Here is a 16,128-nt window from a genome sequence, read left to right as displayed (position 1 = left end):
AAAAAACCACAACTATTTCTTTGACTTCTTTTTTTTGCTTTATTATGAGAAATTTATTTTTATTTATTTATTTTTTATTATATTTTAAGTTCTAGGGTACATGTGCACAGTGTGCAGGTTTGTTACATATGTATACATGTGCCATGTTGGTGTGCTGCACCCATTAACTCATCAATTACATTAGGTATTTCTCCTAATGCTATCCCTCCCCCTCCCCCCACCCCATGACAGGCCCTGGTGCATGATGTTCCCTACCCTGTGTCCCAGTGTTCTCATTGTTCAATTCCCACTTATGAGTGAGAACATGCGGTGTTTGGTTTTCTGTCCTTGCGATAGTTTGCTCAGAATGATGGTTTCCAGCTTCATCCATGTCCCTACAAAGGTCATGAACTCATACTTTTTTATGGCTGCATAGTATTCCATGGTGACTTCTTAAATCCTGTATCATCATCCCTCTTACTTCTCTGACTCCATCTCCAAATAGGCTCCTTCACTCATTCCACAGCCTCCTCCAATACAACAGGTCTGCTCACAACTCAGTCTGCCTTGGGTCTTTTTGCTTCTTTTTTTCTTACAGATATTTCCTCAGATCAACCTCGTCAGTGAAGCCTATCCTGGACTCCACATCTAAAATGAAGTTATTTTCTCCATCCTGATTCTTCTCGCCACCCTTATTGTTTTGTTTTTTTTTCTCCACTGCACTTAACACTATCTAAAATACTATATGTTTTGCTGTACATTTTAACATATATTAATCTTGTCTGAGCTTTGCCTGTCCAAATAGAATGTAAGGTACATAGAGGCAGATATTTTTTGCTGGGTGTAGTGGCTCACACCTGTAATCCTAGCACTTTAGAAGGCTGAGATGGGTGAAATGCCTGAGCTCAGGACTTTGAGACCAGTCTGGGCAACATGGTGAAGACCCGTTTCTACTAAAATACAAAAAAATTAGCTAGGTGTGGTGGTGCACACTTGTAATCCCAGCTACTCGGGAAGCTGAGGGAGGAGAATTGCTTGAACTGGAAGTGCAGGTTGGAGTGAGCCGAGCTCGTGCCACTGCACTCCAGCCTGGGCAACAGAGCAATACTTTGTCTCAAAATACATATATATTTTTTTGTTTGTTTTCTGTTCCATTTTATAGAGGAGAAAGGTACCTGGCACATGGAAGACACTCAATTAATATTTGTTGAATCAATGGATGAGCATCTGTATGACATAATATTATTATCTGCCTTTTAGTGATAAATACACTTACAGTTATCAAATAATTTGTCCAAAGTCACAAAGCCAGGCTTGTCTAAGTCCAGAACTATGGTCTTAATCACTTCTTCATCTGGTCTGTCAAACTGGACTCTCATTCTTGAGCCTGATGCTTGTACCACTTCACCATGCAATTTCCTACGTACCATGTCCTAAAAGACATGAAGCCATGTAAACAAAAACAACAGACAACATTCTAGCTGTGCAAAATACAATGACTTGCATAGAGATGGCATGAAACACCTATTTGAGGGCATGAGATAATTGAAGGATTAAGAATTATCATATGAGTGTGTGGAATTTTTCCAATTTAAGAATTATCATACTTATCAGCAAATGTCTCTTTCTTACTAGCTGGCTAACTTTGGTAAAGTTTCTTTATTTCTCTGTGCTTGACTTTCCCATTTATAAAATGGGGATGGTGATAGGAAATAGATGAGGTTATCTGTGTTGCTTAAAGCATTGCCTAGCACATAGTAAGCACCCAATGTGTTCCCTTCCCTCTTGTTATTAGCTAATTGTGGTTATTACTATTATTTTAGGTTGACTATAATACAAACTCCCTACTGTGGTCTAAATAGCTCTACATGATCTCACTTTGCCAAACTGTCAACTTCATTTTTTTTCACTTGTCTCTCCACATGCTCAGCTCCAACCACCACGCCTCTCTCTTGCTTGAGCATGTCTTCTCCAGCTCAAGGCCTATAAACTGGCAGTTCCTCCAAGAGAAAAAACACCATCGCCACCTTTTCATTCCTGAGTCTCAGCAAAGTGTCCCCTGCTTCTGTGTGTGTGTGTGTGTGTGTGTGTGTGTGTGTATGTGGCCATCTTTTTACTCCTGTGTCTCAGCAATATCCCCTGCTTCTGTGTGTGTGGCTTCTGTGCATGACCCAAGCTAAAGAAGTTCATATCTCCTGTATCAGCCTCTCTCTACCAGTTTCCTTTTGTGATTTTTTTTCCTTCCCTATTTGGAGTTATTTAGTTCTATATTTTTTCAACTGTCTGCCCCTGCTAAGGGATATAAAATACAAGAGGACAATGAACTTCTCTCCTCTTTACCAAAGCTCCTCAGTACCTAAAGCATTGCCTAGAACATATATTTTTTGTAGGTGCTCAGTAGATGTTTGTGGGATGAATAAATGAATGAGTGATCATGCTGTCTGGTTCTGGTTAGGATGTTCAGATGTTGTAGGAAATAAAAGCACCTCTGATGGATAGTAGTACAGGGGTAGTACCTCTGATGAGGTCTCTAAGTTGGGGACAACCCACAGACAAAGATTTACGTTTTGTTTAACTTCGGGTACAAATATTGTATACATTCTTCAGATATAGCCTCTACATGTCCTCATAGCATTAAAGTGTGGCTTTCAAAAATGGTACAATTACAGACCATTCCGAGGCTTGGTTCCCATCTGTCTTGAAGGGTATGATTTTGGCACATGGCCCATTTTCACTGGGCTCTGTTCTCTAATGTACTCGGCATATCATTTGACCCCCTAATTACTGAAGAGAATCGGAATCCCAGTGCTTTTGAAGTGCCTACAGGTAATGTGAATCATTAAAAGCATATGTCATAAAAACTGCAGACATTTTTCAAATCACTTAAATTATAATAATTAATTTAATATGCTTCATATGTTTAAACTATATTTACTTTCAAGCCATATGCTTTCCTACATGAAATGGAGTTCCAGATTTTTCTATTGCTTTTAAAATACGGTGTCCAAACTGGAATTTGTCCAGCACACCAAGAGTTAACATGCCTACACTAGAGAAACATGTCTTGTGTCTGTAATAAGTATTAAGAATTTTTTAAAATGACCCACTTTTGAGTAATGCCATATCCTAAGTCAGTTACTTCTGCATTGGTTAATGCTTACTGTATCCAAGTCGGAGCTTTCTGCTCAAAGACCTGAGCAGCCAACTCTGCTAAGAATACTGATGTCACAGCCTAAGACATGTTACTGTCACAGGTTCTTAGCTCTACCCTAAAGATGTTTTTATTCCTCCAAAGGATCTGATTTTTAAAAACTATTTTAGGAATTAAGCTCTATGTTTTGTTCTTACATCTTTCTAGTTTCTCTCCATTCTTTCAGAGACGAGTTAGTCGTTTCAAAGTTTATCACTGCCTTGGCTTTTTATGTATGTTTACCTTCATTCATTAATTTTTGTTGTTTTAAATAAAAATCATGTATATTTAAGGTGCACGATGCGATGTTCCGATCATTGCCTCTTAAATATTTCCCTTAGTTTACTTTTCAACTGTTGCTATCACAGGCCATGTAATAGCTAAATCATGCTATTGTGGTTTTAAAGAGGAATCAAATATGAGGGAAAGATTGCTGACCATTTACACAATGCCAAATAAAAGATTTTATGAAATAAATATAACTTAAAGTGGAAATATTTATCAACCAGCACTGATTTCTCTTCTGAGACTTGAAATCCTTTTTTGTTTTAAGAGGATATTTAATTTGTGGCTTATCTGGCAAATGCCAAGGAGTAGATTCACTTTAATTTGCTCTCTCTACTGCTTTGGACAATTGTTGGGTAGCTGAGCTGATGACGGCATGAAATGAAGAAAGACTACTACTTTATGTCATGACAAGTCAAGACTGCAGGTATACTAATTGTTTGAATTCTACTGTGCCAGTAGACTTTCATGGACTTATATGTAAATAAATGATGATGTCATCTGAGGAAGCAATTCTTGATAGAGATGGAGGGTTTTTTTTCCACCTGGATTCAGGATTTCCAATGATTCTTTAGTTTATTTAAGGAAAAAAAAAAAGCCCCTGTTTCAATTTGCATACGTTGGGTTACTTCACTGATATTTTAACACCCTGTCCCACTCACTGTCTATTGTCAATTGTGGAGAATATCACCCTGATATTAATCTAAGGAGATTCTGGCAACCAGAATTTACCACCACCTACATAGCTAAATTTTGAAAGGTTCTTATTCCCAGTATACGTTTATACTTGTTTTTTTGTTTTTGTTTTTTTAATACAGACAAGTAGTTTTGCCACATGTGTAAATCTTCAGGAATCTAGTTGACAGCACATGATATTCCCTATCCGATGTTTGTAAACTCAAATTAGCTACAGAAAAAGTGATTTCCAGGCCAGTGTGTAACGCTGCTAACCAGCTGCATGGACAGGACTGGCTATCTGCTTCTGGACTTGCTTTAGCTGATGTCCACTGGAACATGAGAAGAAACATAAATAATTTTTCTTTTTGCAAAGACTACTTCATTGTAGGCCAGATGTAACCTTAATGATCAACAGCTGTAAGTACCATCAGCCAAAAGCAGAGAAGAATTAAAGCACAATAGAGATTTAGAAAATAGATGAACTGATAGGTGTTAGAAGGATGTACTGTTGCTTAAAGTGGTAGGTGATTTAAGGTAGAGTATTATCGTAAAATGTTTATAGGAAGGCTGTTCCTAGTATTTAAAAAGTACGAGCAATTAGTTTTTCGGCATTAAGAATTGATCCTTGGTCTTAATGTTTATCCACTCTTCTACCCTCATGCAGTATTCTTCACAAATGCTATGCCAATTCAGTTGGAGATCAACAGTGCACAGGCATAGATTTTTATTTTGTCATATGTACATTTTTTAAGTGCACTTCTTTTTACCTTGAACTGTGAAATATTTTTTGAGAAATAATTTTTCCCACATTATATTGTTAAAATTTTATTTACCAATTATACATATTTTTGCTCAGAAAATCAAATTGAAATTAGAGCTATAGCTTAAAAAGCTTGGATTTTTCTCAAATAAAAGCCAAATTAATAATTTTATAGTATCCCTCGGGATGTTTAAGAGATCTATTTCAGTAAATTTTGAATACTACTGAACCCATTAATGACACATTTAAAAATTTTGCTGGACATTTGTTCTACTGTGCTAATTATTTATTTAAAAGAACTGGGCCTAGAATACCAAGTAATAAAAACATTGTTTCCAAGAATTAATTTCAACTATAAAATGACTCTTTCTGACTTTAAAAATGTCATCTACCCACAGGTTCTCTAATTCATTGGATTCTTAAAAATATAAATGTTTATGTGAATTTACAATATGCAAAGTTGTGCACTCTCTATATTGTTGCTAGTCAAAAAGTATCACTGGGGGGTTATTCACATTTGCATAATAAACAAATTATGTAGTAAAATTTCAAATAGCTGTTTGAAAACAGTTATTTAGGCAACCAATTTGAGTATAAAGAATTAACGTTTGTGGGTTATTAGGAGATAGGCTGGAGGATAGCGGGGAAAGAATTCCTTGCTGATCAACTCTTTGTTCATTTGTATTCTTGGAACTGACAGGTGATGATTTATATTTATATCTTTTTGTATAACACAATTTGCTAACTTCTCTGAGACTTGTAGCTCTGGAAATTTAAGTTTCATTAAAACGTCAGCACCTGCTTGAACTTCTCTAGGTTCTTTGCTGGTCTTGTTCTCTTAATCTCTTTCTGCAGACTTTTTACCAGTGGGAAATGCGAGCAATGCTTTCTTGCATTCGGTGATGCTGTGCTGTCTTTTTACGGTGCATTGTAAACACGGTAAACATGCCAACCTCAAAATAAGCAATGTGAGAAGACTGCAGAAGTGCCTCTCTTTACACTGGTGATGCCAGTTACAGCGTTCTACAGAACTGCCCCCTCCAAAAAACGTCATTCAAATAACACTCTTCTCCTCTTCATCAGAATTGTGTTCTTCTTGTGTTGAAAACCTTTTCTCTTCTCTTACTTTTGCTAACCAGTTTTTAAAATAAAAGAAATGAAAGCAGACATATTGGACATAAATGAACATACGTTAAAACTTATCCATCTGCCTCTCTTCTCACTTCCTTGTCTATATAACAACAAGGTTCATAATGTCCTACTTGTGTTCTTGCTATTAAAAAAAAGTTTACAATTTATACTGCAAAATATTCTGGTAAAGCCACTGGCAAATGCCTACAGTAAATCAGCCCTGCACTTGCCGAAGTTTTAATTTGCATGCCTGTGTCTCTCTGGAAACATTCTGGAGTCTTCTAAGAAAGCATTCCAGTGTCTGCCTCTGTAAGAGTCCATATGGAAAATGCCTCTGAGATCACAGAATTTTTCCTATTTAAGGCCAAACATATCCCCTTTATGTTTGGAGTGCTAAGTAGGAGCCTAACAAAGATTCTGGAAATTATGGGGAGAATAAAGGCAAAGTGGAGTCAAGAGAATGAAGGAAAGCATACTGGAAGACAAAACCTATAAGTGCTGATTAAGCGGCACTCACATAATGCACCTCTTGGAACGAGGCACAGTCCTCATTCTTTGCTTCAGGAAATGAGAATGGAAAGGACATATATCAGATGATGGAGTTGATTAGGTTAGCAGCTCAATTAAAAAATTTAAATGTCCTCTCTGATACATACTGGTTTTTTATTTATTTTACTCAGGGGATACCAACCATGAGTGTTATTTAAAATGAAAGAGGTAGGAATTTTAAGAGTATTTGATTTTTTGAATGAGGCACTTTAAAATTTCATGAGTGCACAAACAAAACTTTTAAGTGTATACTCACCCAGTCCAGCCCTAAATGTAAAAGGCAGCCCTGCATCTAGAAAAAAAAAATTACATCAATTCTGTCTCTGAAATGCAAAGTTACAACTTTGAAATTACATTTAGGACCTTGTGCAAATGATGAAAGGAGCATACAGGGAATAATGAAAAGGAAGATATTTGTGAGTGAGTCTTTTCCCCAAAAGACTTTGGTGGTATCCATTCGTTTCTCAAGTATTAATGGAGAGCTTTCTCTATGCATGGGCAGTGGGGAAAAAGACAATTACACCATAGTTCATCTTTTTAAGAAACCCGCAGTCTAGTAGGGGAGACAGGCATATAATAGATTGTTGTAAAACCACACGAGGAACACATGACGGAAATGGCTATGGAGTTAAATTCCTCTTCCCATCGCCACCTCTAACCTGATGGGGCTAAGGGCTTTGTAAGAAATAATCACTGAACTGAGTCAAGGATAGGATCTAACCAAATAAATTGATCTTGGATTGGGGTGGCTAAGAAAAGTGAGTATGAGCATGGTTTGCAGGAAGTAAGAAAGAGCTACATGTAGTTCTGCATGACTAAGGTTTAAAAGGTGAAGAATGGAGTGGCGGAGGGTGATGTTTCAGACGTGAGCAGGCATAAACTAGGCAATAGAGGCTCTTCAATGCTTACAATGATCTTGGATTTATTTATTGTAAAGTTAAGATTTTCCAGACTTCACTACTTTTGCCATAGCTCTATATCTCATTAAATGTGTTCTTCTTTACATTTACTTAATTTTTTTTTGCTTCAATACATTTATTTTAAAAACAAACTTGATATATGGGTCTCAGAATCACTTAAAGGAAAGTATTTGGAAGTTTGCCAATGACAAGCAAGGAGGAAGGGGGGAGATGGGATAGAGCTGGATGATGAGCATCACAGGGAGGTGAATAAGCTCTGGAGGTAGTGATAGGGACCCAGGAAAATGCTAAACTACACATCCTGGTTATGGCTTCTGGCAGAAAGAGGAGTCCCAACTACACAAACCACAGGAAAAAATATTTCGAAGGGAGAGCTAGGTTCCAGTTCAGGCCAAAGGAAAAAGATCCCTCCACCAACATTGGGAGGATATAGTAGAAACTGTTAGAAATAAATGAACAGTTCCAGTGGCAAAGCAAGAGTGATTGTGGTCTATGGTGAGGAATTCCAAGTGAGAACATGGATGATAAGAACCTCTCTGATATGAGGATACCAGAAAGGATAGGAGTCTTTCTAGGCAGTGGAGTAGTGACAGTGGGGAGATTAATGTGGGTTCTGAGACCTGGACAGGGACTAAACTCAAATGGTCTGATTTTTGCCCAGTCGTTTCAGTGCCAGAACTGGTTAAGCCATTGAATAGCCACACTGGTACTAGAAGAGATGTGTGATGGTCATTTAATAGTGCCCTTTATCAACTCTCTCCCAGAATCCAAGCTAGAAGGCAACTTAATTCTATAAGTTGGACTGCAGTATTGAGTTGGCTTTTTACTCATTGTTTGACCTTGTGCTTCAGTTTCTTCTTTATGAAAATGGGTATAATCATGTCTACTTCATAAAGTCAATGCAATTGTTAAATGACACAATGCATATAAAGTGCTTATCGGAGAAAGTGCTTGAAAACTCTAACTAGTGTTGTCATTATATTGAACTTGAGTCACCTGGAATGTTTAAACCTATTTCCACTGTTGCTTACCAAAATTTCAGTGGAATATCTTTGTGGAGAAATACTTACATACTATTCTTGAGCCATCTACGGAATGCTTAAAACATTCTTGTAACACTCGTTTATTTTTTCTTTGTTTCTAAGAGCTTGAAATTTCCTTTTTTAATGAAAGATCAAAATCATTGGTACAGGCCCTCTTCATAACAAGTATTTTAACCTGAAACACAAAGCCACAAGATAGGGTATATGATGGCTAATCTCAAACTCCTGACCTCAAGTGATCCACCCGCCTTGGCCTCCCAAAGTGCTGGGATTAGAGGCGTGAGCCACCACGCCCGGCTAATTATGGCTAATCTATATACCCATGTGGGCTTGGCAAAAGTTCCTACTTGGTAGTCATCTCCTTTTGCTACCACTGTAATATAACTACCATTTTCCCTCAGGGGAAATATTTTTTTTTTTTCTTCTTGCTTGTATGGCTTCTTATACCAAGTCTCACCCAAGACCAGTTCTCACATTTCTTACATATATGAAAAGAATGTTTTCCATCACTGAGAAATACAGTAGAGCCTCAAATATTTTTCCATGAGCCAGACTCCACAGGCTTCTTAATGAGAACAATCAATTAGGGGAAAAATGGATATTATGGGTAGGCAGACAGAATGAAAACTAGTGATGGCTAAGCCGAAGGATAATATTGGGGGAGTTATGGGACCAAAAATAGAAGAATAGATGCTCCAAGTTTCCCTGCCCTCACACCCTACACTTCCTTTCTTCTGTCTGTAAGTTTGCCTGTCATCATCATTCCCATTATAAAATTGTCTGGCCAAAGGTGAAGGAATGAATAAGATAGAAGGCATATTCTCAGAATCTCAGGAAGCAATGCCATTGGCTCCATGACTGATCGTCATACTCTTGGCTACTGTCCTATGGATCAAGTCAAAGGAAAGTAATAGGAACTGGTGAACAGTGCACTCAACTCATCTGTGTTTCAGCAGATGCCACTAAGTAATCTGGATTTCCAGAAATGATTACTTCTATGCAGATTCTTGCTGCTCTCTGAACTGGCCCCTTAAAAAAAAAACAAACGGTAAAAGTTATTGTCTTCATTCCCACCTCTTTCTTTTTAAGCGTCTGATGCTAAAAACTTTAAAGCCTTTTAAAATACTTTAAAACAGAATTTTGCCAAGAAGAAAAGTGATCTGATCAATCAATTTACATTAAAATGATTGCGATTAAAATGAGTTTATTCTCTCTAAGGTGTATTTAGAGTGTTGTTTGAAGCAAAAGAACAACTCATGAATAATAAACTTTTAGAGAAGTTTTATTGAAATAGAAATTTCAGACACCTTTACATAGTCCTTCACTAATATGCGGATACTCCTAAAGGCAATATTAGGTTTATTTTTCCTCTTCATGTGCTACTTGATTTATGTGAAAATTGTACTTTAAAACATTTTTCCCCATAGTTAGATCATGATAGTAGTTATGCCGGGCTGTAGGCAAATTGTAACTATTCACTTCAGCCTGATTGATCCTCATTTTTTCTTTCTCTTAAATGCATTTTCTCCAATTTCCTCCTTGAAGTCTGACTCCATCTTATCTTCCTAGGCAATGAAGGAAAAATAAGAAAGAAAAAAGAACGGAAATTTTTATCTGGACTTACTTGTATCTGAAAAAACTATTTCCCTTAATCTCAATATAAAAATGTGGATATTTGTTTGTCATTTTATAATTACTTGTTGATACTGAATATGGAAATCATATCATGGAAAGTGGTAGATTGGACTCTTCATGAAAAAAGAAAATAGATCATGGAATGGGTTCTTATCATTCAGGTAGAGAAAATATAACACATTTCAGATTAGAAGATATGTGTGTTCATAACCTGTGTGTGCTAAATGGTAGCTTCTATGTTGTTTTAAAAAAGTGGAAATGGCATCTCACCTTGGCTTAAGCATCCGTTATGTGCCTTTTAGCTTAATTCCAGGGAATGTATAAATGTCGTCCAAACAACAACAATAACAACAAAAAATAGAAAGCAAAACCAAAAACTTCCGTCAAGGATTCATTTCTTCACAATGATATTAAAGAGGCATTTGGTGGGTCTCTACTACCTCCAATGATGACTACACTGCTTGCATCACCAGCATCTAGTGTTCACCAGTTATAAATTTAATGTTAAACAAGCCACCAAACAAATGTATTTCAAAGCTTTCAGAGGATGCAGGGCAAATATATGTTGGGGAATGAGTTGGGCACGAGAATCAGAATTCTCATGGGAGAAAAAAAATGTAGATTTTTCTGCACCATAATAATTCTGCCAAATCATAATTTCTGTGAGTGGGTGTCTAGAACCTACATTGTAATAAGTATCCCTGGGTGGGTTATTTGCCTTTATCATACTCCAGTATCAATCTAGAATCTACCACTTCTCACAGTTTATGCTCTTTACTGGTGGACAGTGCTCTTCCTCTTCCTGGATGATCACAATGGTTTTTTTAACTTCTGCTCTGGCCTCTTAATTCTCAAAACAGCAGTCAGAGTGCCCTTGACACAGTGCAAAGTACAGCACATTACCCTTCCACTCAACACATTCCAAAGGCTTCCCATCTTGCTCAGAATAATATCTTGAAGTCCAGGAAGGACCTGCGAGAGATTCTACATACTCTGGCCCCTCATTGACTTTCTGTCTCCTATTTCCCTCTCCCACTTGTACCCAGTTACAGGTATACTGACCTCCTTGTTACTTCTTCTGTTGTCCGCCTCTTCAGGACCTGTGTATTTGCCATTCTTTCTGTTGGGAGCAGCACTGTCCATTAGAACTTTCTGCGATGATGGAGAATTTTCACACCTGTGTTGTCCAATGTGGTGTTTACATGAGACTCATGGCCAGTCTGTTGGACAGCACTTGTCTGGAGTGATTGTCCTTTAGATGGCTATATTACTCATACCCTTCCTTTTTCAGGTCTTTGCTCCAATTCTAATATACTTAAAATATTAGTATCCCCCTTCTCAGCATTTTTAATCCCCCTTCCCTGATTCACTTTTTTCTTGATATTTATCAGTATCTACTATGCTATACATGTATTAATTATCTGATTATTGCCTGTTTGCCACACCAGCATGTAAGCTCCATGAGGGCAGGGAATTTTTTGTTTTGTTTTGTTTTCACTCAGTGAAGCATCCCCAAGAACCTAGAATAGTGCCTGGCACAGAATAAGTTACTCAGAAATATTTGCTAAATAAATGAGTAAATGACAATTAATTAATAGTGTATAAATTAGCTATCACAGCACTTGTGTTGGTAGCAAAACTTGATGGGGATTTTGGAAAGGGATAAAATATTTCAGTGCCTCTAAAATTCCCCATTTGTTCAAGTTCCGAAATACCTAGGCCCCGAAAAGGAACTATTGTAATTCCAAGCACTAACTATTCCTGATGCTGTAAGTTAATGCATCAGTCTGTGTAATTCTAGTGTATAAATTTTGCTCTTGCTGGGAATACACTCTTCCTTTTTTTTTCTAACCATTTATCAGTAAAAAGACAAATTTTTAGGTTGGGTCAAAAAGAAATTTCCCAATACTAAAAACAAAAAGACATTCAAACAAAATTATTTCACAATTATTTACTGTCTAAAATATCAAACCTACTGCTTTAGCTGCAGCCACCTGGACGTTTGTTATCTAATAGTATCATGCTCCCTTATGTTAAGCTGCATAAGAAGATAGAAATCTAATTATGAAAAGCATACTCCTCTTTAAGAAGTGCATATAATTTAACATATCCAATAATAGCTCCGAATAACTTCCAAAAAGACTGAAATAACATATACATAAAAATTTTCAAATAAATCCTTTGGCATTAACAGTCGTAGTGCTCAGATGGTGGTTCTAAGACACATGGAAGAGCACCAGTAACAAACTGCAAATTTCATCTGATGCTAGAAGTATCTTGCTAAAGAAATATTAGAGAACGAAGCTTAAATTTGATTTTATTTAACCGAATACTGAATGTGGTACCTTTCTTCTGATTGATCTTGGGAGAAGGTGATCAAAGGTATTGAATGTACCTAGGATTCCAACAGAATGGGAGGCCAACCAGAAGTCTACATTTTTAACCACTCCCATCCCAACTTGCCCCTACCCAGGAAAAATGAAAAGCCTGACAGAGACACATCATCAAGCTATTTTACCGTGATTACTTGCAGGTTAAACACTAGTCTCTGAAGCAGATGGTCAATTGCCAGTCTAATAGAAGGAATTGCTATCCTTCCTCTCATTCACTGAATGTGCTTTTGATACTCTTGGTGCCAGCAAATTGCTACAGGTTCAAATAGTGCTCTGTGTATCATAGAAACACAAAATAATTGAAGCTGTCAGACAGCCTCTCCTTTCCCATCCTTTTCCTTTGTATAGGAAAATTGTTCTACTTTCATATAATTAACGTTCAAGAACATAGCACAGGGGAATACCATGATGAGATCTTACGACCCCATTGAAATGAAAATCATACCAATATGTAAGATAAATAAGTTTATCATACCAATATGTAAGATAAATAAGTTTGTCATACCAATATGTAAGATAAATAAGTTTATCTTACATATTATCACATATAAGCAATAAATTTAGAAGTCTCAGAGTAAATAATGTATATTTTCACCACTGGGCATACTCTGGCATGAACCACAATTCTTATTATTAGCCAAAAAAAAAAAAGGCTAAATTGAACTTAGAGGTTTAGTTGAAACTTTGTCACAAATGTGTACTATCCACCACAGTTTCATCATAGTGCTGTTTTGTGTGAAACCCTATTTTTTGGATATTTGTACCTACTCAAAGTGGAAAATTCTTATAGTTATAATGTCATTTATGTAAGATATTGAAGCTTAAATATCTTACATTAGGTAGACAGGCACAGTGATGTGGAATGAGCATAGAAAAGCAAAACTGAGTTCAAGTTTAGCTACAACACTTACTGTGTCCTCTTTGGCAAGTTTGAATCTCAGTTTCTCTACCCTCCTATTTTACATAATTAATTTAGTGATTAAATGTAAAATAGATAGCATACCTGGTACATTATAGGTACTGAATAAATCATAACTATTATTATTATCACTAATAAATTATGCAAGCAGTAAAATTACAACTAAAAATATTTTAAAGAATGAATTCATTGTGAAACAAGAATTGGAGGATACACATTAAAATGTTAACAGCAGTTATGTTTACATGGTAGAGAAGCCTTTTAAAAATTTTTTCCATATTTTTATGAATTTTCTTTAATACACTTAATTTCTTTTTAATGAAAACATTTGTTTCAGTTTCCATACTAAAAATTCATTCAATGCGTATCAATATGTTCTCCTATTAAAAAATAATTCAAATAATATATTAGTTTATGTAAACTATAGAAGTACTTTTAAAACATTTTATATTAGAGAAAAGTCAAAATTGATTTGCCAATTAATTTCTCCCTTAATTAAATCCTTTGGAACCTGAAGGAAAACTAGTTACAACTTATCAAATAATTTTTATAAGAATTATTTTATAAAGAAATATTCTTGGATTTTAGTGAAGTTTTTTTTCTCTGAAATGGGAAGTTCCTATTTACCAAGACTGAACTAACTTCTAGCCTAAAAACTACATACAATTCGAATAGAAACTCTGGACAACCATTTTTCCAGTTTTAATTTCTACCCCAAATCACAGGAACTTTATCTTTGACAAATGACAACCGCTTTTTATTGAAGCTGTATAGATTCACACGTGGGTAGAAACTTCAGCCAGCGTTTAAAAATCACTTCGTTTTTCTGCATTTAGTAACCAGAAGTAATCATTTTTTTAGTGGGAAACTTTCCATAGTTTATACATGTATTTCTAAATGCATACCGTCTCCTAACACTCATCCCAGGGAATTGTCCTGACCAGATTTCTGTTGGCTTTTCTTTGTATATTTTTTCCTATTTATTTCTCCACCTAAACCTTTTCTCTGTAAGCTGATTTACTTTTTGTTTTTCCTTTTGTCAAGATGTTAAAGATTGTCTTTAAGTTGAAAGAAACCAAGAAAAAAAAAAGATAGAAAGAATGGAAGGAAGAAAAGAAGGAAAGGAAAAAAGATAAGAAAAAAGAAAAAGAAAGCAAGCAAGCTAGGATGAAGTCTTCTTAATTCTTAATGTTGATGATGATCTCAGCCTCAATGGCTGGCCAGCAGTCACCTGCGTACCCGAAAGCCTTAGTATAAAGATTAAACGAAATTTTGCCGGAATGTGAGGAAAAACGACTACTCTCTTCTATCCACACAGTAAAAAAGGCAAACAGGCCTTCTTCGAATGTAAATCTCTCCAATGCTACCATGAATATGAGGTAGCAGTATTCTTTTAAAAGATGTTTTCCCTGCTCCAAGCATCATTCCTCTCTGTGGCTTTCAGCAAATGACGAAGGTTTGTTTTGTCAATTTTTCAACCTTTGCATCAAGCTAAGACACCACGTCAGCATTCTTATCCCATTTCCCAGAAGGTGGCAGGTCACTCATTAAGCGCACAGAAGGGGGTGTATTTTTCCTTCACCGCTCTATTTATCATAGCTTTCCTTGGGAGGGAAATCTAAATGTCCCTAGTCACCTTGAGTCTTCTACAAAATGGAAGGAGCTTTGCTAATATCCTCCCCAGAACCCTCTGATTTCATTCACAACGTGACATAAGAGCCCAGAGTTGTACTTTATCTGTCATTAATCCTACTGCAACATGCTGCAGTCATTAAGGTGGTTACTTACCAGCTCTCTCACTGATGAATATACAGAAAAGAGTAGAGAGGAAAGTTGGCAGAGTCCCTGACAAACGATAGCAGAAACTGCGAATAAAGACCCGGCTATGCCGGCTATTGGGGAGCCATTTTTCCTGTGTCAACACAGAGCCCACAGGGCAAGGTCGTTTTACCATTTTATGATCTACTGTACTTGGCATTTGTTCTGGCACTGGAGCCTGTGTCTATTTTGGGGATTCGCTGTATATTCCCAGATTGCCATTTTCCTCTGCCTTTCTCTCTGTTAAATATTCTACAGTATATTATCACTTCATTTTACTTCAGTTATTTCCTCTGACAGTGGTGCGGGGCAGTCTGGACTCAGAGTCACTTCCTCTCTCAAACTCAATCTGTCTAAATGTCAAAAAGGAAAAAAAAGTAGGGCTCTAAAATCCCAGCAATCTGGCATTTCTGAGGAACTACTTGATAGGTGTTGCGTTTCTGAAGCTCTTTTGCTGGAGGAAGGGGGATAAGAGGGACACTTGAGTTGGAAAATACTGTTACATTCATGTCTAGCTTTTTCTGAAAAGTGGTATTATTGTGTTCTTAAAAGCCCCAATCACAAAAGCAGAAGCCGTGTTGATGTAAAGATCTGTTCGTTCGTTGAAATATATACACCTACTGTGTACCCACAAAATTAAAAATAAAAATAAATAATTTTTTAAACGAGAATGTTTATTAGGGATGATTCTCTCAACCTTTACTCACGGATTTCAGATATCTAGTAATGAATTTGAGTAATGACCTGGTCAACAATTTGATGAAACTCACAAAACTGACAGATTATTATTTCTGCCTCTTCTCCTCCCCTCCCTTTCCCTCTTCTCTC

General features: G+C 36.5%; 1 long non-coding RNA gene across 2 annotated transcripts; it reads right to left on the bottom strand.

The window, feature by feature from the left end:
• Nucleotides 1-15: 15 nt before the first annotated feature.
• LOC107986968 (uncharacterized) lies at nucleotides 16-15,397 on the bottom strand. Of its 2 annotated transcripts, XR_001746037.2 has the most exons (6): nucleotides 15,271-15,397; nucleotides 11,233-11,347; nucleotides 9,474-9,564; nucleotides 8,563-8,710; nucleotides 6,829-6,864; nucleotides 16-1,412 (listed from the first exon to the last, which is right to left on the bottom strand). It is a non-coding gene; the product is annotated as an uncharacterized LOC107986968 (long non-coding RNA). The 2 variants fall into 2 exon arrangements; XR_001746036.1 differs by lacking the exons at nucleotides 16-1,412; nucleotides 6,829-6,864; nucleotides 8,563-8,710; nucleotides 9,474-9,564 and adding an exon at nucleotides 9,844-10,100.
• Nucleotides 15,398-16,128: the final 731 nt, after the last annotated feature.

The sequence above is a fragment of the Homo sapiens genome, chromosome 8 (assembly GCF_000001405.40).
Source record: "Homo sapiens chromosome 8, GRCh38.p14 Primary Assembly".
Classification (NCBI taxonomy): Eukaryota; Metazoa; Chordata; class Mammalia; order Primates; family Hominidae; genus Homo; species Homo sapiens.
This window is presented reverse-complemented; position numbering and strand designations above follow the sequence as displayed.